The sequence below is a fragment of the Homo sapiens genome, chromosome 2 (genome assembly GCF_000001405.40).
Source record: "Homo sapiens chromosome 2, GRCh38.p14 Primary Assembly".
Lineage (NCBI taxonomy): Eukaryota > Metazoa > Chordata > Mammalia > Primates > Hominidae > Homo > Homo sapiens.
In genome coordinates, this window is record NC_000002.12 from 166,337,761 (window position 1) to 166,364,973 (window position 27,213).

Genomic DNA, 27,213 nt, shown 5'->3' on the forward strand with positions numbered 1-27,213 from the left:
GTCACCTTAGTTAAGTTACTTAACTGTGTATCTCAGTTTACTCATCGGTAAAATGAGTATGAAAAGGATTTTGAATATTTAAATGAGTTAATGCATATAAACACTCTAGAATCATACTTGAACCAATAAGAACTCAATACATACCTCTATTATTGTTATTATCATTATTAGGCAGGGGGAGTTAAATAAACTGACACATAAATGCTTCAAAATGTACACAGCAAGTTAAGGAAATAAGAAGAGGTCTATGGACTACTTGGCAGCACTCTTCCCAGGATACAAGAGAGAAACCAGAGCTTTCAAACGGAGGAGTAGTGCCAGGCATTCTCCTTGTATGGGAGTCTTTTCAGCAATTTTGCAGCAATCCATGCAGCAAAGCATATCTATGCAAATACAAGGAGATGAGGTCCACATTGAGCAGTTGTGGGAGTTGCCCTGCTTCAAAATTGCTTGTCTCACATGAACCCTTATCAATTGTAACAACTGCAACTCTGTATGAAAGGGACATGCCCACTTACAGGAGTCACTGCATTAAGGGGGTTCCAAAGAAAGATGACACCCTCGGCATTGATTTAGGGCTTATTTTTTTTTCTCTTTCGGTGCTCTTTATATTAAAATTATACAAGATATTACTATTACTATCTGTCTAACGCCCATGTGTACAAAAACAGTTCTATACTTATGCTATTTGTTGGCTTCTCCTCTCTCCATAACTTTTATTTGTTTTTTAAATTTTTTATTGTGAGCTAATTATAGGAAAGGAGCAAAAATAGTACTAAATATTCCCTTGTACCCCCTGCCCCACTTCCTATAATGTTAACAATTATATAACCATAGTAATCAAGAAAATTAACACCAGTATGATATTACTATCTGAATTGCAAATCTTACTTAAATTACATCATTTTTTATTGCATTTAGTTGTTATACCTCATTAGTCTCTTTTTATCTGCAACAGAACTTCAATTGTTTTCTTTTCTTTCGTGACCTGACAATTGGGCAGAATACAAATCAGTTATTTTGTAGAATGCGTCTCAACTTGGGTTCACTGAATTTTTCAATTCACAACTAAGGAAACTAAAGCGTTATCTATGGAATTAGATACTTTGCTCAAGGTAACACAGCTGTGTGTAGCAGAGCCAGGATTTGAACTAAGATCTGTTACTCCCCAGGCCAGTATAGAAAAAAAAGATAACATTAGAGGAAGGATGTTTTAAAACTTTAAAATGCAGAAATACATGGCTTAGAGTATGTACCTGTTGCAAAGGTCTTGGCATCTGAATTTTTATCGATGACTCATTTGGCTTTATTCAGCAGACTTGAGTTTAGAAATTCAATCAGTGAGTAGTTTATCTGGTAAACTGTCCTTGTAATTAAATAAAACAATCCCCAGGAAGTTAATTGAAAAAAGCCTGCCCATCAGGAACACCTAGAAGCCACGCTTTGTTGGTCTGTTTAAGCCAAATTTCTGGCACACTGCTCTTCGGAAATCAAATTTAAAATGACAGGTAAGTTGGTCTTAACTTTCTTAAAGGCACAAACAAGTAATAGCTGACTCTCTGATATATAATGTATCACAGAAAAGGCTGATTTCACATGTAGTGGCCTTTTATCAACAGCAACATAATTTGGGAATTTCTAAATTTTTAATTTAGATCTTACTTTAAGATATGAAAAAATAGGAGGAGGGAGGGGAAGCTAAATGCCTGGGGAAAGACATGCATGTTCTTAGAATTTTGTTAGAATGTAATGAGTCCCTATGTCCTAGTATTTTTATAGACTCCCTCTGTTAACTATAATGAATTTAGGAAGGTGGGTGAGAAGGTGTTTTATTCTCTTTCACCCCAATAAATGATATCAAGCATCTATATTTAAATTAACAAAAACTGGAGTCCCTGGCACCTGAACAAGTGCTTGCTCAAACAGTATTTGTTAATTACTTGTAAATGTAGCACTTCAAGGAGGAGAGTTAATAGTATAAAGGTTACCTTAAAATCAGACTTTTAAATTAAATAACTTCTATGTAATAATATGGTGGAAAATAAAATAGATGAGAACCTTAGTGTAGAATATGGAATTTCTCCTGACATTTCTCTTTGAAATTTAATTCTACTATCTAGAGAGGTAGCATATTGTAGGAAATTATAAGTCCAAATGTTGGCTTTACCACTCTTGTATGAACCTGAGTAAATGATTTAACCTCAGGAACTATGTCTCCTATTTCACTGGTGAGGAAGTTACACGGGTAGTCTGTTAGAAAGAGGGGATGAAGTAAGGCAGGACAAGCACCTGGCTAGGGTTTACTCTACAGTATTACAGCTTGAAAACAAAGAAAAGAGAAAACAAATGGGAAACCAGTCTCCTTAATGAAAATGAGTGAAGACAAAAGCCTCAAATAACACATCTTGGGAAGAATGTACTCAGAAATTTTATAATTTATAATTATCTGAGAAATATAATCTATAATTTATATCGACTATTTGACATGGGTTTTCTTTCAAAACATGCCATTTTAACATTGACATATCTATTACTTGAAGGTCAAGTACAAGTGCATTTTACCAAATAGTGTTTCCACATTGATTGCAAAACTACTTTTCACTCAGTTTTACTTTCTCAACTACTACTACTGATTCTTGGTTTTTGAATTTTTTAAAAATCAGGCTTCTAATCGTTAAGACTTAGTCCTCTAATCATATCACAACGTTTTCTTTCTTTCTCTTTCTTTTTTTCTTTCTTTCTTTCTTTTCCTTCCTTCCCTCTCTCCTTTCTTTTCTTTCCCTTTCTTTCTTTCTTTCTTTCTTTCTTTCTTTCTTTCTTTCTTTCTTTCTTTCTTTCTTTCTTTTTCTTTCTTTCTTTCCTTTCTCTTCTTTCTTTTTTGATAGTGTATTTCTGTGTCACCCAGGCTGTAGTGCAGTAGTGCATTGACAGCTCACTGCAGCCTCCACCTCTGGGATTCAAGTGACCCTCCCACCTCAGCCTCTCAAGTAGCTAGGACTGCAGGCAGGCGCCACAACACCCGGCTAAGTTTTGTCTATTTTTTATAGAAATGGGGTCTTACTATGTTGCCCCGGCTGGTCTTGAACTCCTGGGCTCAAGTGATCCACCCACCTCAGCCTCCCAAAGTGCTGGGATTGCAGGCATGAGCCGTCCTGCCTGGCTTTGAAGTTTATTTCTTCATGTACAAATATATGCCAAGAATATGGTAGCTGTGTATTTATTCTATATTTTATTTTTATAACTGCATTTCTTTGTATTATTATGTGCATTGATATACTAAAGTATTTTCTAAAGAACTATTTCCTTTGGAAATATCTCTTAATTGACCTTACCTTTTTAGAAGAAAAGTTGAAAACTGGGCTGGGGAACAAATGGAAAATAAGATGCTTTTAACTATCATGTATGTAATAGAGTGACATTTGTCAAGCAAATGGAAATTTCACATTCAAGAATAACTTAGACATATCTATATAATGACATGGTGAGTTACACTGGTTTATAATTTTCACAGCTCTTTCACATATAGCAATGCTCTAAAATATAAACTGCAAAGATTCCTTTCATTTTTCTTACCAAAGGTGACATTGAGATTTACAAAGTTTGGTGCTTGTTACCAAGTCATGTTTAAGGAAACATTGAAGCTATGACCAGAAGTCAGGCTTTGAGCTTTGAGTTCAGTGGCTTCTCCCACTTTATACCGTCTAAGAAAAGTTAATTTGATAGAAGACAATGAAAGAATTGGCAACAATAGACCTGCAGATGTTTTAAAAGGCACTAGTTTAGCCAATATGCCTAAATATGTACATGGGTCTCTTTAAGACTCCACAAAGAGACACTGCTAAGAGTTACTGGAAACAAACTACAGCTGCTCTGTGAATAAATTCTTAGTTCACAGTTGCTGTGGGAAAAAATGAAAGATCCAATTACAAAGTCTGGGAGATTTCCTATAATTAGTTGCTATTATATTACTTTTGCTATGACACAGTACAGAAGAAAGGAAAAAGGAAGAGGAATTGCTGTTTCATTTCTTTATTATTTTCTTAATTGCTTTTTTACTAACAGCCTGTGTCTCAAGGAAGCCAAGCCATATTCATTTCATCAATAACATTAATCTGTCATTTCATTCAGGAAATACAAGAAAGGTTTCGGTTTTAACCTTAAGAATACTAGGATATTCTGATCTCTCTTATATTGTTTTGTAAGCATACTTGCAGAATAATGTCAATACATAGGGAGGGTTGCAGACTTGTGTTTCTGCATGTGTGGCATAAATGTTTGTCAAAATAATAACTATGTGATTATTATGTATACTATGTTGTTCCCAAGTCTTGTCCTGATTATATTATACCTTATATTTGAGAAATTATGATGCCCTATAAATAGAGAAAAGCGCACAAACACATCAGCACGTATGTATAGACTATATAATACTAATAATATATTGCATTTACTTTAAAATCGTTTAGAATCTTTGGGCTATTTAAAGTTTGTACAAAAAACACAAATGACTTCAATCAGTAATAGAACCAATCTAGTCAATGAATGCCATATGGAGATGTCCCTGTTTGGTCACTTTTTGACACTGCAGGCCAGTCATGACCCCTTCAATGTGCCAATGGTCAACTACTGCAGTTAGCTTTCCTGCCTTTCCTTAAGGTGATAATATCTATAGGACCAAGTTTTCCATCCTTATAATTAAGTGTTACAAACATTATGGCTTTAATTATAGTGTGGCTTAAACTGTTTTTTAAAGATTAAACCATTAGAGTCAGAGAAAATTTTCTACCTCACGTTTAGAATAGAGTCTCCAATTATTTTTGATCATCACCCTTACCAGCTCAATAATAGCAATACCAATAATAATAAAAGATCTCCCAATAAATGAATTTATATGCTTGCTAAATTATAAACAATCTACACATGCAGTGTAAAACATATGCATTTAAAAATATACACAAAATTGAAACTATTTTTTATTTTATCATTATTTTTTAAATCTATCATTACCTTGATCTTGAATAAAATTGAAACTTTTAAAGATAAGAATGAAGACAAAGCTCTTCCAGCATTGTTCTTAGGTGTGCATATTCAACTTTGGAAACCACAGATTATGCCCTTTGCATACATCCACCACCAAAGCTTCCCTGGAGAACTCAGGCAAACATGTCCCTGTCCATCCCTACCTTCATGCTGCAAAAACGTTTTTAGCACATAGAGTGCATTGAGTTTTAAAACTAGCATTCTTTCAACATCAGATTAATTGAAATGTCTTCTCTTGCATAACATCTTTCTAGAGCCTGTAAAATTAACTAAATAATGTAGTGCAGGTAAAAAGTCTTATTCATATGAAATAATTACACTAATTTTCTTGGTGAGGTGAAAAAAGAGCACCGATTTTTTTGTCATATACTTTGCTTGTTTTATAGGAAAAAAATTATAGATTTGTGATAACCTATTTAGAATTCTAATCAATGTTTTATTTCAAAAAGAAAACAGAAGTAAAGGCTTCACATATAAAAACCCAAAGCTTTTAGGAGACTTTACATATGTTGATATTTTATAGAACTAGGAATGCTTGTATTTTCAAAATAGAAGTTTTTGATTGATACAAAATACTAGATTACTTTTCTGGGAAAAAGAAAAAAATTAAATAAAATATTTATTTTATTTCAAGAGTGATTCTATACATCATCTCAAAGTCAAGCAAGAGGGAACCTTTGGTTTGAGGACTATAGGATGGTATTAAGAACTATGAGAAAGAACCTGATTTGAATTGCAGTTCTGTTTTTTTCTTGTTGCATGTGATAACATGTCTTTACTTCTCTAAACCACGGTTTCCTCATTGAAAAAGTGGAAGGCCAGGTGTGATGGCTCATGCCTATAATCCCAGCACTTTGGGAGGCCGAGGGGAGTGGATCTCAGCTACTCAAGAGGCTGAGACAGGATGTTTGCTTGAGCCCCTGGGGATGGAGGTTGCAGTGAACTGTGACTGTGCCACTGCACTCAGCCTGGGAGACAGAGTGAGATTGTGTTTCAAAAAAAGAAAAGAAAAGAAAAGAAAAGAAAAAGTGGAGATAGCAATTATCCCCATCTTCATTATATTATTGTGTGCATTACAATAGATAATGTACAAATCATTTTATGTAGATGCTTTATAATGTAAAGTGAGTAGAGGGGCAAAGCACAAGAACCACTCAATACATATTAAATCTCAAAATGCTAAGTGTCAATTCTTTACTTGTGAGATAACAGATTAGGATCATGGAGAATTATCTAAAAGTACATATGCCTTTCTATGGAGAAATGCTAAGTCTTTTTACAGGAATCCAAACTTTGCTTTAGTTACAGTAACATCATATTCCAATCAACTAAACTAAACTAGCACAGACAAAAAGAAAAGTACTTAATTGAAAAATTATTGATCACATCACATTACTTAGAATAAATGAAGTATAAGGTTAAAAGTATATCAAAATATGACATTAATAATACTAAAAAGCCTTATAAAGTTAAAAATATATCAAAATATGACATTAATAATAAGGCTTTTTATTATCTATTATTTCATTTGAAGCTGATAATAGCACTACTAAAAAAGATACCATTAACTATCACCTGGGAGTCAACATGAATATGAAATATGAGAAACCACAAAGAAAAGCCTTTGATGAAACAGCATCTTACGAAACTAAGGACTTGTAATTTGTACATTCGCTTAGAAAATAGTCCTTCAAGTCATCCGCCATTAGAATTGTTTAACCTTGCAAGAGTACTGGGCTTGGTCAAAAGAAACTCAGCTCTATAAATCATCATTATACTAGCAATTCATCAGCATGTTAGATCTTGTGTAAAAGGCACAATGAAATTTCCTGCTGCTATGATTTTTCTCCCCACAACAAATAATCTAATTTGTTTTGAAGCTCCTTTTAGTGATCCTTTTCATGTCTCTTTTCTGGAAAGCCACCTACAATCCTTTGTGCAAACAGGGAAAGAAAAAACAATCAAGATACCAAACTAAGAGGTGGAAATTTCCATCACTGACATCATAGCTGTATGATTAGATGAGAAAACCCAAAATATGTGGGAGGAGAAGGCCATGAAACATAAAATCCTCTGCCCCTGATGTGAAGCAGCAGTGTAAGACAGAAAGCATTTGAATCATGTCCTTTGTTATCTTTGCCAGAAGCTTTTTCTCGAGGAACTAAATGGAAGCTTTGACTACATTTCAGACCTCATGAAAGAAATAAATTAGATTTGAGCTGATTTTATTGTGAATATACCCCAATTACTCCAGGAGTTAAAATATTACAGCCTGTGTATAAGATGGGTATCTAGTGGCTTCAGTAGAGTCTTTAACTATCATCCATGTGGAAGGGTAGCAAAAAAATGACTGCTATATAATGCCCTGAATGAATGAATCAATCAATGAATCAAGACATATATATCTTGATTATGTGGTACTCAATGTTCTTTCACAGAATCTCTATTTTTAGGATTTCTTCAGGACATCATGACAAAATTAGTACTGAATTGTGGTGTGCATAACTTAGAAAAAAATATGCATAAAGCAGCTACCCTGTGCTACAAATGTAATTTTTTCTATAACAATTAGAACATGTTATTATCCTCATTTTAATTCATGGAGAGTTACAGATGTTCATTTGAGATAGATCAGGAGTGGGCAGAGGCAGGTTTTAAGCTTATATCCGCCTCTTTTGAAAACTTTCACCACGTTGAGGTCAGTATGCTCTTGAAAAAAAGTAACAAAAAAAAGTAGGGAAAAGGGGTTTATTGATTGATATAAAACTAAGTTCCAGAAAAACAATCTAGGCATTTCAAATTAATAGAGGACAAAACAAACAAACATACAAACAAAAACAGATATAATTGCCAGAAAATCCTGTTGAAGATGAAGGTATTTATTGCTTTCCTTCTTCCTGAGCTCCTGATGTTGTAAGTTGTCATCATTAGTAATGAAGATGGTATCGCTGGTTATATTTTCCGCTACTACTACCTCCTCCCCAAATAAAATAAACGGGGCCTATGCTATATCTTTTTATTTTCATCCCAAGAGAATATCTTCTAACGATAGAAGTTTATCATGTTAGGAAGAAAGCAACTGTTTAAACATGGGCATTACACATTACACTTTCCAATATTACTGAAAAACAACTGAATCTAGCTTCCTCCCTGAATTTGGGAGTATTCTGCACTAAAATGGCTACTAAATTTTGTCATCTGCCTTGAAACAACAAAGATGGAGAAGAATACCTTACTGAAATATGAATAAGGAATGTCTCATTCTCCTGCTCCTCTGGGCTTTTGAGTAACCTGTGCTGCTGTGGGAGGTAATTTGTATTACCACTTCGTGAAAAGAGTAAACAAGCAAGAAAACAAGAGTCAGTGATGCCCTACCACTATCCCCTTTCCCCTGCCTTAATCAATTTCTCAAAAAGACCATAGGCCATAAAAATTGAATAGATCATCACAAAAGTCTTCTCATTATTTAGGTCTAACTAAATTCCAAATGCAATAGCAAAGATCATAGTATTATCATGAAACTTTTCTTCTCCCTCATTAGTGAACCTGTTGTAACTTGGCATTTCTCATACTTGTCTTGGAAAAGCCTGAATACCTTTTATTTATCTCAGCAAAGTAAGATTTTAATATTTTAAAACAACTCAATACTGTCCAGTAGAAAATGTATTAAACTTCTTAAAGTACATAATACTTGAGCCGTCAAAGACACACAGATGGGCCTCTAGGGGCATTTCTCCTAATAAATGTGAGATGCTCTGCTCAAGCTGGGAAAAAATATGTATCTCCTGTTTGTGAAAGATATGGTTCAGCTGCTACCCTGACAACAAAACCAAGCACATTAGTGACCTAAGGGACTGCAGAGATACCTGCTATTGTTTGACACCAAAAGGAATTGGAAACTTACTAAATATGGAGCAGGTGCAGAGAAACCTATCATTGTTCTCTCTAAAGCGTGGGTTCAGGTGGGAATCAAGCTCATTGAAAAGTATATGATATATAAAAGTACATAATAAAGTATGTAATTTGTGATAGTAGGTGAAAAGCCAGGAGAGGAACATCAGAAAGACACAAAAATACAGAAAAACAGACATTTGCACAATAGTTTTGAGAAAAGCATTTAAATTGTTTGAACCTCACACTAGACAGAACTCTGAAGAGATGGATATTTCAAATGAAAAAATAAAATAGGGAATTGGGACTGGGAGTGAGTCATCCATGTGTCTGTCCCATTTCTCCACATCAATTTGCTGACATCTGCCTTGTCCACTTTTTAAAATATTTTTAGTTATTACAGTGATGCTGAACTAATAAGAATGGTGTTTAGAGAGAACATAAGAAGAGTAAATTTGAGAGTCTGTCTAAAATCTTTAGGCACTGGTCCATCACTCTTGCCGTCTTTATAGCCCATTCCTCTCTCTCTTTCTTCTTATTCTCCTTTGGGATCTTTTATTTTTTTGAGTATTCTGTTGTTTCCAATTACACCTACAACTTCTGGCAAAAAATATAAAATACTTTAATAGGACATCAAGTAATTATTTCAGAATACAGATGAAAATAATTTCATAGCATTGTCCTAAATCCAGAGGGTTCATGAATCATTGCTCTTAGAAAGCTCTTGACACCCAGGGGATAGGTTTTCATGCAGAAAATCACCCTGGGAGATCAACATGCCTAGTGGTTGATGTACCTCATGTACAAGATGTGTTTGTTTCTCCTGACTTAGTAAAGAGCTATTTAAGTGGACCCCTGGTTGGGGAGGAAAGCCTTGAGTTCTGTGCTATTTAGAATGCCTCTCAACTAAATGCTTTGTAATTAACTAATTAATGTTCACAACACACCTGTGGCATTGCTGCTACTATTCCATCATTTTTCCTGAGTAATAAACACATTAAGACTTTATATGAAGTAATCAATAAATGATGACACGGAAAACAAATCCAGGAAGTGTCTAAATTACCTGGAATTCACTGGTAGCCAATCGTAACCCAGCCCCATTCTTCACAGGCATTTAAAGTTCATGCCACAGAATTTAAAGAGGCTGTTACACTCTGATCTAGAACTTGTATAATAAGGTCATGAAGAGACAAAGGAGGATAAATATTTAAAAAAAAACACATAGGATCGGAGTGCCAGATAAAATACATGGTGTCTAGTCATATTTGAATTCCAGATAAGTCCAGGACCTACATAGGAAATTGGCAACTTTTCACAGGCATGTTCCAGAAGGACCAAACCTTTTTCCTATGGCAAGATGGTAGGTTCTTCCAGCTTCTCTGCTAACAATCTGTGGCTCCAGAGAGGAAGAGGCAAGAGGATGCCAGGTAGCATGTAACTCATGAGCCAATGAAAATTAGTTAATATACCACCTTAGCACATGTGTAACGGTTTGTTGATTATCATGTACATTTTTCCTACAAACTAAGAATAGAAAGTCTTCCAACATTAAAAAAAAAAAATGACAAGTAGCTATTTTCCAGCCTAGATATGCCCCTCAAGTTCCACAAACTCTAATTTTTCATATACTCTTATTTTAACCCGCTCATTTAAATGATTGCCAGTCAGTAGCCAGTGCTAGTAATAAAAAGTACCATTTACTCCCTGGGAACTCAGAATAGAGTAACATCTAATCAACAAGGGCTATTGATTATACTTTCTAAATCAACCCTAAACCCTTTCCCTTTGCTTTTTCTCTTTATCTTTTATCTGTACTATCACAATGGTCTCCAAGTCTCTAGGTTTCCACTCTCATTTTGTCTTATCCACAGAATATATAGTACTGTCAGAGTGGTAATTAAAAATTGATCACATCTCTCTTCTGTTAAAAAATCATCAGTGGCTTCTCAATAGCTTATGGGATTAACCCACAAGGGCCTGTCCTAAGTGGTCCCAGCCCAATTTCCTGATACTCATTCCCACCCACCTATCTAGGACTCAAGATCCTAGATAGGTGGCTATGCTCCAATAGGGCATTTTAATTCTTCCCTCAGGAGCCAGTCCAAGAGTTTTAAACCTACAACTACTTTTCTTAAACCTCCAAAGTAGTGGCCGGGTGCAGTGGCTCACGTCTGTAATCCCAACACTTTGGGAGGCAGAGGTGGGCAGATCACTTGAGGTCGGAAGTTCAAGACCAGCCTGACCAACATGGAGAAACTCCATCTCTACTAAAAAAAATACAAAATTAGCCGGGCGTGGTGGCGCGTGCTTATAATCCCGGCTCCTCGGAAGGCTGAGGCAGGAGAATCGCTTGAACCCAGGAGCGGAGATTGCGGTGAGCCGAGATCACGCCATTGCACTTCAGGATGGGCAACAAGAGCAAAACTCCGTCAAAACAAACAAACAAACAAACAAACAAACAAAAAACTCCTCTCATCATGATTTGACATAATCACCCTCCCCCAAGCTGTGACCATCTTATTCATCTTTCTACTCCCATATTTAGCCCAATGGGGTACATAGAAGGTAATCAATAAATACTTATTCAGTTGTATACACTCTTTCTCTATTCCTTACTTTAAAAAGAAGGAAACAGAAAAAGTGAGAAAGAGTTCAAAATGTAAGGAACCAATGAAAGAAAAAGAAAAAAGTCACAAAGTTATGTAATGAGTTCTTTTTACTGTTGTATTTGTTATCATTTTCTAAATAGTCTCATTTTATTTATTTCAATTTATGCATTGAACCATATGTTTTACTAATCTACTGTGTACTTCCACTTCATTTTGCAATTTAGGAGTATTTCAATGGTCAGAGAAAATGAAAGTACTGTTAATTCTGAAAATTAGAATCTCTCTACAAACTTTTAAATTAGGTCACAATATTCCTAAAAACCCTAAGTAGACTATAAGGGCAATGCATTATAAGGCTAGAGTTGCCGTGTATATAACAATACCTCAGACCGGGCATGGTGGCTCACGCCTGTAATCCCAGCACTTTGGAAGGCCGAGGCAGGTGGATCACCTGAAGTCGGGAGTTCGAGACCAGTCTGACCAACATGGAGAAACCCTGTCTCTACTAAAAATACAAAATTAGCCAGGCGTGGTGGGGCATGCCTGTAATCCCAGCTACTCAGGAGGCTGAGGCAGAAGAATTGCTTGAACCTGGGAGGCGGAGGTTGTGGCGAGCCAAGATTGCGCCATTGCACTCCAGCCTGGGCAACAAGAGTGAAACTCCCTCTCACAAAAAAAATAAAAAATAAAAAATAAAAAATAAAATAAAATTAACATGCTTGGTCTGCAATATTTCTCATTTGAAAACTTTTCTACTCCTGGTTCGTGGACTTGTCTATAACTTCCTCTGCCATAATTAAAGTATCTCTGGGCACCAAAAACATTTACAAAATGACTGCTTTCAACTATGATGTCAATAAAATTCCTTATACTACAAAAATTCTATGATTCTATTATTCCTGCATGGATAATTTACCAGTAATTCAAGCTTTTTATGTAAGGAGAGAGATTATCAGAAAAACTATGGGGATGCCCCTCCAGGAATTTCATTTTCATTCTTGTCTGGGCATTCTGCCTTTAACAGCTTTCTCTTTGTGTGTAATGTCCCCACCACTTGGTTTCATGAAACTAGGTATCCCTATATGTGCCTCAGAAACACAAAACACAACAAAATTATAGTTGCTGGTCCATCCCTTCATCTCTGCTGATTTTAGGAATTCAGAAATTTAAGAATATGAGAAGTTTTGATTTGGGGAAGAGGAATTAGTATGCATAGGGGTATACTTTAGTAATTCACTAATGAAATTTTGTAAATGATAATCACTTCCTATTATTTATTTAACTATGCCCACTATTATCCTAGACACATTGAATTGAGCTCTTAGAATTTTGTCTGTAAATAAGAATTAGAACTATATTTTATGAGGTCACTTTTAACTTAGTCATCAATGATTCCATGTTTGTAAACACATTCTCTGTCAATCATCTTGCCCACTGGTGATCACCAGGGAAAAGGCAAAAGGTTATTCAAAGCTCAAAAAGAACATTTTAAGTATATGTATTACATCAGCGGCTTAGTTGCATGTGTATTAAAATGTGAAGGGCAGTATATTATTAATCAAAAGATGGTTATAACTAAGAGTAAGAAACAGGAATTATTTCAACTACAAATATAAAGCGAATGCTATTTTGACGGTGACTTTTTTTATAATATTTTTAAAACATTATTTTAACAAAAAAAGCTTTTTCAGAGTGCTAAGAGTAATTTGCCTGCTCTCTATATATAAGCACAGACGCACACACAGACATACACACATATTTCCTAAGTAGACACTTAAGACATTCATATCTAAGTTTTAAAAAAATCTGATTTGGCGACACAAAGGCTTCCAAGGGAAGAATTTAACAAAATATCTTGAAGTCTTGAAGCATGAAAAGCCTAAAAAGAAGAATAATACAAAACAAAAACCCACACATCAGGGTGGTGAAATGAGAAAGTCAGAAACATTTTCCTTATAAAGTTTATCAACCACACAATTACTTTATGGTTTATATAAAATTATGAACTGCATACAACTTATCATGAAAAAATTGCTTCCTGCAACTGAGCTGAGGAATTTAGGGATGATATGTGTCAAAGGTGAAAACATGTTTCTTTTTCAAGCAAAAGATGTGGGTCATGTGGTAAGGTTCTATTGCAATATCTTCATGGCTCTCTTGCCAAAAGACTGATGTATATTTAATCACTTTATCTAATGGATGTGATTTCTAAAGTCACAGTTAGCCATTAGGAAAGCTCTTGCTCTGGTTCAGCTGAGCACTCTGATTACATTTCCTGACTTTGTGGTTTCAGAGAAGCAGAGCTGGTGGAGAATTCCCTGGCTGGATTCATCAGTCTTTGCTATGGACAAGAGAATACAGTAAGACCATCCAAGTCATTAGTCTTGGGGGTTGGGTAGATTCACTACATCCAAGTCTTTAGAGCCAAGTGCCCATATGGCTAACTTTAATTACTATAGAACAGATTTTTTTTCCCCAAATTCTTACCCTTCTTGATTAGATTGGAAACAAATCTCATTATGGAGTTTTAAATAATTACCATGAAGCTCATCATCATCAACCTGATACCATCTAAGAATATGTTTATGTGCAAAATAATGCAATGATACTTGAAAAAATTTAAATTCAAGTATAGTGTGATATGTTTACTGTTGTAAGATACAGTAAAAAATGTAAGTGAGCTAGAATATATCACAAATAGACTTCCCTATTGTCTTCATTCTATGGCGTTTCTTAAGAAACACGTACAATGTTAAAATAGTACTTGACATCTCAAAAAAAATAAGCCCTAAACCCGTAAAATGGGGAGAAAAAACTATAAAGTTGGTATATTGGTAAGTGTGCCTATTATAATGTGAATGACAGTAAGATTTACACGGCCCTACTTTTAACAGCCTGACAGAAAATTTACAGTAGATAAATCTATACTACTCATGGATTTATCTGACTTATGGATGATTCCCCTTTAAAGACTGTTCTATTCAATAAAGTTTTACATGCTTGTTGTATGCATTCCTTTGCTACAAGACCAGAAATAAAGCATTATACAATGTGATCTAAATAACAAGTTAAAAAGATAAAACACCATGGTAAATTAATGATGGTGATAAATGTAATAAGCCTACAATAAAAGCAGACTGCAGTAAGACTGAAACTAAGAAACCAAATAAGGCATTAGCAAGGACCTTACATTCTGTACTGAAGTATAGAAATATTATTTAGGAAAGCAAGCTTCAATCACAAAACATCAATCATTAATTAAAGTACATCTTGCTTTTCGTATATGCACCTTCATTAGACTCTTAATGAACTGATTAAAAATGTTTTCTCCAATGGGTTAATTTTTTCTTAGTTGCAGTAACATTGTGGGATATTCTTCTATATACTGATCAAGATACTTTTCCTACACACAGCATAAGAAGATATTGAGACTTCCACGTTAATCAAACTGAAAAGTAAGACAAGGAATTCCAAATCAGAGCCTATTTTAGAACTATGAGCATTCAACTGAAAACGGGTCTCCAGATTTCTGTGCTGCTCCATTCTGTTGCCACCAACAATTGATAATTGGTATCATTTTTGTGCAAGTGAGATGTGCCTTGTTAGTGCTTTTTAACTTGAGTGTTTGAAGTTGTTCAAATAATAAACTGTTTTCTCTAAACCAAGATTTAAAAGTTCCAGGATCGATATCTTTCCATTGTATCTGTTTTTTTTTTAATTTCTTTCTTATTAAAACATCACAAATTTCTTTTGAAAAAAGATCTGTGCTTTCTGGGCGTGGTGGCTAATGTCTGTAATCCCAGCACTTTGGGAGGCCGAAGTGGGCAGATCACTTGAGGTCAGGAGTTCAAGTCCAGCCTGACCAACATGATGAAACCCCTTCCCTTCAAAAATACAAAAATAGTGAGTCCCTGTTTCCAAAAAAAAAAAAAAGAGAAAAAAGAGCTGTGCTACAAAAAAATGCCTTAAAACATTTAGTTGCCTAACACCAAGCAAGTTTGAATAAATTATGTAATATTCATTCAATGAACAAGAGACCCTTTGTCTGCAATAGGAAATTTGATAATCTTCCCATGACTAAAAAAAAATTATAATCTACAGCTCCCCACTATGTACAGAATAACCTGTCATGTCTTTGGTCTGTCATAGAAGGTTTTACTAACCTGATGCTGACAGCCTCTTCTGTTTCCCTATTTGCAGTCTACATTCCAGCTACATTATTCTACGTTTAATTTCCCCAAAGGTCAGCTAGATAATTTCTGCATCCTCATAATGTTCCCTTTATCTGAACAGTTTCAACTATCCTGATCACCTGATTACTTGCTTTGTAATATTTGGCTCAATACCTCTTGTATGAAAAGATCTGACTTCGCCTCCTTCCTTCCCTCAAATATAAATTCAACCCTTCATCAGCTTCTCTTTCTCCCATATCTCCAGTCTGCTTTGAGCTGCCAGCAGTCCCCTAAATGCGGATTTTTATCCTACTTCTACAGTGCTTTATTTCTTTCATCACGCCTGTCTCCTTCAACTAGATTCCAAACTTCATAGACAGGAAATTTGTCTTAGGCATGTATTATCACCAAGGTATAACATGATATCTGGCACATCATATAAAATTGTTAAATGCTTGATGAATGAAGATGGTGAAATACTTCTCCTAACCCAAGCACTTGAAGAAGCACGCTATCTAATTATATTGCCTTTAACATAGATGTCACACTAATTTAAGACAATTTTAATTATTATTTAACAAAATTTTCTAAGATTTTTCAGTGTTCCAAGAGCATCTTCAAACATTTACAATAATCCATAACTATCATTGATTTTACATCAGAAACGCTATCTTTAATTTATGGCACTCTCAATTGCTCTTTTTCTCCTCATTAAAAAAATTAAAACATTGAAAAACAAAGCAATTTCCATCCTTTTATGGAGGCTGATATGTGCAAAAAATATAAGGATTCTGCTATTACAACCTGTTTCCCCATTTTAGTGACATCGAAATACAATTTAAAAACAACACTATCTGCTTAGGTTTAATTAAAGTAGCTTTTTTTTTCCCCAGCCATAAACAGGAAGGTTAAAAGTTTGGTCAGATGGATGAAAAGGGGGACAATATGGTGGACACCAACTAAAGTTTAAAATTCTCTAATTTGGGATTACACAAATCCCAAAGTTTTTAAGTTCACAGCAGAACTTAAAAATACATTAGGCACATTTTGACATGTTCACCAGTACTTAAGCACCTTAAAATTGTAGATATTTTATTTGAAACATATATTTAAGGACAAATTGCCAAATCTTTGAACATCCAACAAAGCGATCAAGTATTTAATTGTTTTAGAAACCTAGGCACAGATACAATCCTAGATGGTTGATTAACCCTAACTTAATTTTTGCCATTAAAATAGTTTATGCAGTTTGAAGCTTGTACGCAAATAACAGGGAGAAGCTATACTGAAAAGATTTCATTTCCATTAAATCCAAGACACATTTATTTGCAGAAAGTTGCACATGTGACTAATTTGGGGTTATTAATATGGTTGAATATAAATATAGCAAATTTTCATTGGGAGAAAATTTAGAAAACTGAAAAGCATAGAAAAAAATAAATGAAATTAACCTATTCCAAGAAAATTACTGATTTTTTTTTTTAAAGAGACAATGTCTCCTACTGTTACCCAGGCTGTGGTGCAATCATAGCTGACTGCAACCTCCAAACCTCATGGGCTCAAGTGTTCTTCCCACCTCAGCCTCCCAAGTAGCTAGGACTACAGGTGTGCACCACTATGTCTGGCTAATTTTTTTTTTTAATGGAGTCTCTCTCTGTCACCCAGGCTGGAGTGCAGTGATATGATCTCGGCTCACTCCATCACTGCAACCTCTGCCTCTTGGCAGCACTGGGATAACAGGCATGAGCCACCACACCCAACCTGTCTTCTTTTATATATATATACATACTGACAAAATGTTTCCAGAAAGGCTATAAAAATGTATATCATTTTTAGCAACATGTAAGCATATATTTTCCCACAATGTTAAGTATAGTCATTTAAAAAAAAACTTCATAATTTGATATTTAAAACGTTTTTATCTAAAATGTGAATTTCGTGAAACATTTCTAGTTCTTCTTTGGTCAGTGTCTTTAGTCTCTTGATCTTTTTTCTATTGAAATATTCATTATTTTCTTGTTTGCCAAGGGATTGTGTGTGTGTGTGGGTGTGTGTGCACACGCTAAGGATATTGATACCTTTTCACAAAAATTTCTTTTTTTTTTCTTTTGCCAGTTTGTCATCTTTTAACTTTGTCTTTACTAAAACTGGTTTTCAAAAATGAATAGAAATATATAATTACTCTTTAAAGGAATTATGCAGTAACTTTAACATTAAAAATATTTACCTTTTTGTGCATATATATGTTTTCCCATTGGGAGGGCAGTTTTATTTTCATGACATATTTCTGGGAAACATAGGCCTAGAAATGAGATTTTTTTTTTTTTTTGACAGATTCTCAGTCTGGAGTGCAGTGGCATGATCTCAGCTCACTATAACCTCTGCCTCCTGGATTCAAGTGATTCTCCTGCCTCAGCCTCCTGAGTAGCTGGGACTATAGGTGCCTGCCACCACGCCCAGCTAATTTTTGTATTTTTAGTAGCGACAGGGTTTCACCATGTTGGCCAGGATGGTCTTGATCTCTTGACCTTGTGATCTGCCCGCCTTGGCCTCCCAAAATGCTGGGATTACAGGCGTGAGCCACTGCGCCTGGCCAAAATGAGGTTTTTCACACAGTCCCTGGAGTCTTGTCTGAGGCTGGGTGAGGCTGCTTCTTTACCTCAAACTGAACTATCCTGCTCAGCCTCTGCCTCTTTTCTTTTCTCAGTGTTTGGGTCATCCACCTCCTCAGAGCTACTGTACAACATTTTTTTATTTAGATTTTTGTATAACGAAGTTTCTTTAATGCAGATGACTCTATTCTAAATAAACCTTATATTAATACTCTACATTTTTACACACATAATGGTTTGCAAAAAACATTCATTCATTCATTCATTCAAGTTCATTCCAGACATATTTTAGAGGAACTATTATTTGATTATCATCCTAAGCATCAGAGCAGTTAGTAACTCCAAGAACAGAACATTTTTAAGTTGAAAAGTTAGGTCCAAATTGCAGGTTTATGACTCCCATTTTTTCCCCATAAATAGCATTCTTATATTTATTTTTGAAGAATAAATTTAGCCACAAAACTCAAAAGTATGTATAACGAAAAATAATTCTCTCACTCTTCAATGTTTCCCAGCCATCCAAATTCCTCCCCTGTGGACAACCACAGTACCAACCCCTTGTGTATCCATCCATGTGGTTTTATCAGCATGTATACATCTATTCATTTTTCTTTTCATGCAAATAATACCCTATATAAACATTGTTTCATACCTTCCTTCGTCACTTAAAAATCAGACTTGGAAATCTTTCTGTATCAGCATGTATAAAGCTACTTCTTTTTATAGCAGCTTCATAAAGTCCTATTGTACAGCTGTACCCAAATTATTTAGTCATTCCCACACTGTAGAACATTTAGGTTGTTTCCCAAAGCTACAATAATTATCTTCTCATTAGTTTTTTTCTTTTTTTAACCTACTCTTTTGTGGGCTCTTTTTGTAACTTTTATTTTAAGTTCAGGGGTACATGCACAGGTTTGTTACACAGGGAAACTTGTGTTACAGGGTTTTGTTCTACATCTTATTTCATCACCAAGGTCTTAAGCCAAGTACTTATTAGTTATTTTTCCTGATCCCCTCCCTCCTGCCACCCTCCACCCTCCAATGGGCCCCAGTGTGTGTTGTTCCCACCTATGTGTCCATGTGTTCTCATCATTTAGCTCTCACTTATAAGTGAGGACATTCTCTTGAATAGTTTCACAGTACGGTATTTTATTTGTAAGACAAATGCTTCAGAGTGAAATTGCTGAGTCATAATTGTATGTGCGTTTTTAATTTGCCATAATAAAATATTGCCGAATTCTCTTTTGTTACCTAGTGTAACGCCTACAGGGCCATAGCTGAATTTCTATCCTACCCTAACTCTGCTGATCTTTAAGAAACAGGTAAAATGTTCCATTTGTAACCAGAGCAGCTGAGATTGCTTAGAACCAAGATAGTTGACTAAAGGACTTCAAGAAGACCTCAGGCATCATTATAATCTCATTTTCATGCTAAATGACACCCCCACCAGTGCCATGACAGTTGATAATCCCCATGACAATGACCAGAAGAAGCCATAAAAGGACAAAAAGGAAGGCGGCACTCTGGTTCCAAGAAGTTCACCACCTATTTCTGGAAAAGACATGAACATTCCTCCCCTCACTCTTAATGACCAACTTCTTCATTAGATATACTTTCTATTTCAATTTCCTCACTCCTCACTAGTCAAGAAGTTAGCTTGTGCGCCATACTTGCACTTCTCCATTCTTTGGCCATCGAATAAAGCTTGCATTGCTTGATGCTCACTTTCCCATTTCTTGTATTGGGTCTCCAATACCAAACAGGGAAAGATGCCACCTTTTGAAACTACCAAGGAGGTTATTGGTATATTGGTAACTCCTTCATAAAGGCCTATCAATCCATGCTCTCCCCAAACAATGTGTCAGGGATTGTTTGCACATACCTTCAATAAAGTATTTCATAAATTTTTTTTCATCTTTGTGAGCCTAATAAGTGGGGAATAAAACTTTTATTTATTTATTTATTTATTTATTTATTTATTTATTTATTTATTTATTTTGAGATGGAGTCGCTCTCTCATTGCCCAGGCTGGAGTGCCTTGGTGCGATCTCAGCTCACTGCAACATCTGCCTCCTGGGTTCAAGCAGTTCTCCTGCCTCAGCCTCCTGAGTAGCTCGGATTAGAGGTACCCACCACCACACCCGGCTAATTTTTGTACCTTTAGTAGAGACAGGTTTTCACCATGTTGGCCAGGCTGGTCTCCAACTCCTGACCTCATGTGATCCACCCATCTCAGCTTCCCAAAGTGCTGGGATCACAAACATGAGCCACCACACCCGGCCGAAAACTTCTTAATTCTTATCATTTTAGTTTGCATTTTCTTTTGTGAGTGAGGTCAGGGATCTTTTCATATCCTCAGATGCCATTTGTGCTTTTTTTTCTGTGCTCTGTCTGTATGTAGTCTTGTCCACTTTTTTAATAGACTATCAGTGTTTTATTAATTTAGGAACTCTTAACAAAATAATAAAATTAGCTTTTTTTCTGTGGTATACAATACAAATATTTTTGTAAGTTTGCTGTTTTTGTTTCTTTTGGTTTATGGTAGTTTATCTTTTAAAAGCATCTACATTTTAATTAAATTGAATTCACCAATCCTTTCTCCAGTGGCTCCTGTGTTTTATATTATCTTAGAAAATAATTTCTACTTCAAGTACTTCATAAGTGTGATGACTGGGTTTTCACATGCATATGTGAGATATTCCTCCCTCAAACCTTGTAATGACATTGATATATTATCCATCTCAGGTGAAAAGAAAAAAGAAAACAAAACCTTCACATGTTTTCTTCTAGCAGTTTTGTGGTTTGTATGTTATTTTAAATATTTGATTCCACTAAAATGTATCTTGGGTTAGGTGGCAAAGCAGTAATCTGAATTTATTTTTATCCACATGACTACCCAGGTGTCCCAATGATAACTATTAAATAATATTTCTTTCAACCTATTTAAGATGCTACCTTTATAATTCTCATATGTAACTATGTCTATTTCTGGATATCGTATTTTCTTCCAATGAACTATCTATGTAGGTCACCATACTATTTTAATTACCCTATTTGCATAAAATAACATTATGTATTAGGGTTGGTGCTATTAGATATTACTCTTTTATGTGTGTACAATTTCCCAACTAGATCCAGATTATCTAATTCCAAATGGGAAAATTTCTATTTTTATTTTCATTGGGATTGCAATGTCTTTATAAATTAAAAGGTTAAAAGGAACTGCCAATGGTAAGCACTCTGACTCTTTTTTTAATACCTCTTCTTTAGATTATAAAAACAAAGTATGCCAAGTATAATATCACAAGAAAAACAGGCAGGCTGGCTACTCATTTTAGAACCTCTAATGTTAAGTGTATCAATATATATGAAATCAAATACAATATATATGAAACCAAATACTTTTCATTAAATACTTGCCTGATTGCTGAAATCTTACCATTGCATCCTTCATAAGTAACATTATGTTAATCATGTAAATAAATTCTTAAAATAATTATTATTTCTTAGAAATGCTTAATTTGGTAGATGGCAAATCAGTTTAATAACTTCAACAAGAGTAGTTCAATATTTCATGTCCTAAAATCATTCAATTTTATGGCATTTTATAGTAGTTGAACAACTGGTATGCAAAACAAATTAAGCTGTATATGCGATAATTTTATATTCAGACAACTGATAGGGACTATTTCTAAATTCTATGATTATTAAAATATTGTGATTTGGGTATTTCATAATACCCTGTAATAATCATTTATATTATATTTATTATTTTATTATTAAGATAGAAGTTAGTCTTATGTATAGCCTTTTAAAATATAGTATTCCTCAAGTTTATAAGAAATGAAAGTTTGCCGGGCGTGGTGGCTCACGCCTATAATCCCAGCACTTTGGGAAGCCGAGGCAGGCGGATCACCTGAGGTCAGGAATTCAAGACCAGCCTGACCAACATGGAGAAACCCCGTCTCTACTAAAAATACAAAATTAGCTGGTCATGGTGGCGCATGCCTGTAATCCCAGCTACTCAGGAGGCTGAGGCAGGAGAACTGCTTGAACCCGGGAGGTGGATTGTAGTGAGCTGAGATCGGGCCATTGCACTCCAGCCTGGGCAACAAGAGCGAAACTCTGTCTCAAAAAAAAAAAAAAAAGAAAAAAAAAAAAAGAAATTAAAGTTTATAATCTTAAGAAGTGTATTACCCTGGGAAAACTTAAGATTAGTGTCAACATTTGCTGGCATATCTGAACGTTTTAATAAAAAATTCATAAAGTCTTATCTGTACAGCATGTATAAAGGAAGACAGAAAATACTTCTTAGTTCACGTTAAATCCCATCTCTCTGTTAGTTAAGACTTTATTGAGAGCACAAAATTATCACAGACTTATGGCTGCAGAACAGGTTCTATACCCTTATTTAAATAATTAGAGAGAAAATGTATTTCCAATATTATTATACATGTATCCACTTCCCTCAAAACATCAACATGATTTAGGAGAAAGTGCATAGTAATAACTTTGGCACCAGGCAGACTTAGGTTTGAATTTCCTGTTTATTCCATATAATTAGCTCTGCAGCATTATGCAAATTCCCCATAAATGAAAGAGAGAAATATATCTGTCTTATAAAGTTATCATGTAGAATAGAAATGGTTTTGGTAAAGTGCCTACCACAGTGCCTAGGCTAAATAAATAACAGCAAGATTATTATCCTTCTTCCCTATACAGACTGAAATTTTTAAATAATAAGCCATGAGTTGGCCAATAAACACAAAACCTTACGAAAATCTTATGTGGAGTATATTTGTTACCTATGTTTTATCTTGCCAAACATGTTTATGGCTTTAATTTAAAATATAGATCTGCAGTAAAATAGTAAGACAGCATAACCCAGTTGTTAAATTCATGGCTCCAGAGTGAGAGAGGCATGGGTTCACATCCCATCTCTACTGCTTACTAGCTTATGTCCTTGGGGAATTTAATTAACTTCTCTAAAGCTCAGTTCTTATATAGCAAACCGGAGCTGAAAATGATAATCCTTTAAGGTTATTTTAGTGGAAAAAATTAGACACTGAATTTTAATAACTTAGCACATTTCCTGTTACACTTTCAGTGCACAATACATTGTAACTGTTATTATTAGTGATTTTAGCAACTTTCTTCTAAGTTGATTTTGTATACCTAAAGCTAATGTTCTTAGGAACGAGAATATATTTGCTTACTTTATAATAGAAAAGCTTTTGTATTGCATATACAAAACCTTTTCTTCTTAGGGAGCTTTCAACTCAGAATATTTTAAAGACTAAAATGTATGCTTATAGCAAAACCAAGACTACATTGCCTTCTACCAACAGGTGGCAATATATGCCACACACAGCCATTTTAGTCCTGCCAATACAAAGTTCATTAGTTTATTCAGTGTCTACAGGATGTGGGCCTTGCTTTCAAGGTTATATAAATTCTTAAATCCATCAGGTTTGATAAATGTGGATACACTGAACACACCGAGGATGTTGAAAGATTTAATAACAAAAACATTGGAATATCATGGGAACCAAAGAAAAATAATAAAATGATCGAAAGTAAGAAAATAATAAATGTGGCAAGTGCATAAAAGTTTAATCATTGACAGTAATGATGACCCTCTAGGACTGAGCAGAATTATGCAAAAGTTTAAAATAATGAGCTTAGGCAATAGCCAGCAAGATACAAGGAACATTGTTTTTTTAAAAAAATGAAAATGCTCTAGCATGAGTCAGAGGATTTTTCATTAGCAGCGGATGCTCCAGAACTTAATGCTAAAGTGAGAAAAGACTAGGTATTCATTCAAGAAGGCAAAATCCAAGCACAGTAACAGCTGCTGATGAAATATTCCTGATGGGGCAGGAATTGTTAAAAGCCCTTTAATTCAATATCAAAATAAGTGAGTTAAGAAGCATGCATGCCAAAGTATTCTTTGGAACATTTGTGGACATTGTCAAAACTAGTGACATCTACTCATAAGATTTTTGATGAAGACATTGTTTGAGAATCTATATTAGCAAAGGAAGGGGGTAATCTGGTTTGAGGAGTCTAAAGGAACAGTTTATTTAGTGGAAATTCATCTGGAGATGGTAAAGTACTATGGTATAAATAACATGAGTTTACTAACAAACCTTTTGCAAACTAACATGTTCATAGATATGACTTCCTGTGTTTCTTATTTCTCTGCTCTCTCTTGGAACTAAAGGCTGTGATTATGGCAAGGTATCTAGGAACCCTCACCATAATCTGGGAATATGATGAAACTCATGTGATATTGTTTAAAATGCATTCTCTTTCTGTTGTTGTTGTTAAAAATATATTCAAAGATAAAGGGTATGGCTATTTTTTTAAGGGTGAATTAAATGTGTGATAGTATTTCTTACTTTCTGCCATTTTGGGGCAGAATTTTCAGAACCTCACAGATATAAATAGGATTGGAGTCATGAAGAATATTCCAAATTAGATAACAATCACAGGATCACAAATGAATAGGAAGAAAATAATTCCTATCCTTCCTCAAATTTATATTCCAGAAGGAAGTGTTTTGCCTAAACATTTGCTTTATCTCAGAATCCAAGACTCCTGATCAAATTTATATTCCAGAAGGAATTAAAATTATTAAATTATTATTTTTAAATTTATTAGGAATATAACTTTGACCAGGAGGCTTGGATTCTGAGATAAAGCAAGTGCATAGGCAAAAACGGTTCACAACAATTCAATGACAAAGGTGCTTAACTTTTATTTACAGACTTCTTTTTATTATTCTAACTGATGAATTGACCTGTTCATTTTTTTAAATGTCCATATGTCATATTTTCATGAAAATGCAAAATTTACTTAGTGACCTGGAGTTTCCATAAATAGTCACCATTTTTCATTTGCTTGTAACTCCCCAGTGGGAAAAGGTATTGCCTAGGGGACTTAACCTCCACAAGGATTGTCTAAAAACAAGAAATATCTGTGGTATAAACACTAACCTTAAAACTTCAGTTTTCGGTAACAAACTCTTCTGAAAACACTTTAACAAAACTGAGTGAAAAATAAGTGACTTTACTAAAAATTAACAGAGAGAGGAGATTTTTGAACTTGCTTTATTAAAATAAATCTAAGATTCTAAATAGTAGAAATCATTGATCTACTTGACCGTTGAGAAAACAAGATAGCTTTTCTTTCTTACTCATTAATTCAATTTGTTTACTCAAGTATTAAGCACCTTCTCTGTGCAAAGCCTTGTAAAATGGTCTGTGTGGATTACAACTACAGCACAATGAATCCTTGTTTGATTTAATCATATCTAGGATTAGAAAATGAAGGGTCCCTAAATTCATTAACTAGCTAGGCAAGGATATTCTTTCCCATCAGGAATTCTCCTAAATTGCTAGTATATTTATACAACAACTCAAAAGTTTTAATACTGGTATAAAAGAAAAAACAGAACAAAACAAAATGAAATGGGAGTTCTTGAAATGGAAGGCACATGTTCAGAGTAAGGCACATTCAGACTAAAAACCAGATCTCTGGGGACAATGGGTATGGGAAAGCTGGAAACTCTCTTAGAGTCTACGAATTATATAGGAATTTTTAAAAAATCACCAATGAATCACAGACCTAAACGTCAGAGTTAGAACTGTAAATTTCTAAGAAAATATCATAGGGAAAAATCTTCGAGACATTAGATTTGGCACATGGACATGGAACCAAAAGCACGGTCAACAAAAGAAAAAAAGAGCTGAATTGGATTTTGTCAAAATTGAAACTGTTGTGCATCAAAGAACACTACTAGAAAGTGAAAAGGCAATCCATATGATGGGAGAAAATAATTGCAAATCATATATCTGATAAGGGATTAACATTGGCAATATGTAAAAAATTCCTACTCCTCAACAAAAAATAAACAAGCAGATTAAAAATGAACAAAGGATTTGAAAAGACATTTTTCCAAAGAAAGTCAATCAGTACATGGGAAGATGCTCAACATCACCGATCATTTGGGAAATGCAAATCAAAACCACAATAAAATATCACTTCACACTTGGTCGGATGGTTATTGTTTAAAAAAAAAAAAGGAAAAGAAACATTGACAAGGGTGTGGAGAAATTGTAACCCTTGTGCATTGCTGATAGGAATATAAAATAGTGCAGCTGCTGTGGAAAACACTGTGGTGGTTCCTCAAAAAATTAAACAGAAATATCACATGATCCAGCAATTCTACTTTAGGGTATACATCCTAAACAATTAATAGAAGGGACGCATGTAGTTATCTGTACACCAATGTTCATAGCAGCACTAATCACAGTAGCCAAAAAGTGAAAACAACCCAAATGTCTATCAACAGATGAACAGATAAACAAAATGTGTATAAATGCACAATAAAATACTACACAGCCTTAAAAATGAATAAAATTCTGATATATGCTACGACCCGGATGAACACCTTGAAAACATTATGCTAAGTGAAATAAGCCAGACATGAAAAGACAAATGCTATAGGGTTCCACTTACATGAGGTACCTAGAATAGTCACATTCATAGAGAAAGTAGAATAGTGGTTACTGGGTGATAGGGGAAGAGAGGAGTGTGGAGTCATTGTTTAATAGTTACCGAGTTTTTGTTTGGAATGATGAAAATGTTCTGAAGATGGATGGTGGTGATCGTGTACAACATGAATGTGCTTAATACCTCTAAACTGTACATTTGAAATGGTTAAAATGGTAAATTTTGTTATATATATTTTACCAAAATATAAATTTTTAAATTCACTAGCGTGTTTTGAGATCCGTAAGGCAGAAAGAGTCAGTAAGAGAACAAAATCACAGCAGTTAGCAACCGGTCAACCCTGACAACATGCGGTGTCTCCTTGGTATC

General features: G+C 34.7%; 1 protein-coding gene and 1 non-coding gene across 8 annotated transcripts in view; one reads left to right on the plus strand and one right to left on the minus strand.

Moving 5' to 3' along the window:
* The window catches only part of SCN9A (sodium voltage-gated channel alpha subunit 9), a 180,803-nt gene that overhangs the window by 142,576 nt on the left and 11,014 nt on the right, over positions 1–27,213 (minus strand). The gene's annotated exons all lie outside the window — the stretch shown is intronic.
* LOC124906181 (small nucleolar RNA U13) lies at positions 20,970–21,073 on the plus strand. The gene has a single exon (XR_007088767.1). It is a non-coding gene; the product is annotated as a small nucleolar RNA U13 (small nucleolar RNA).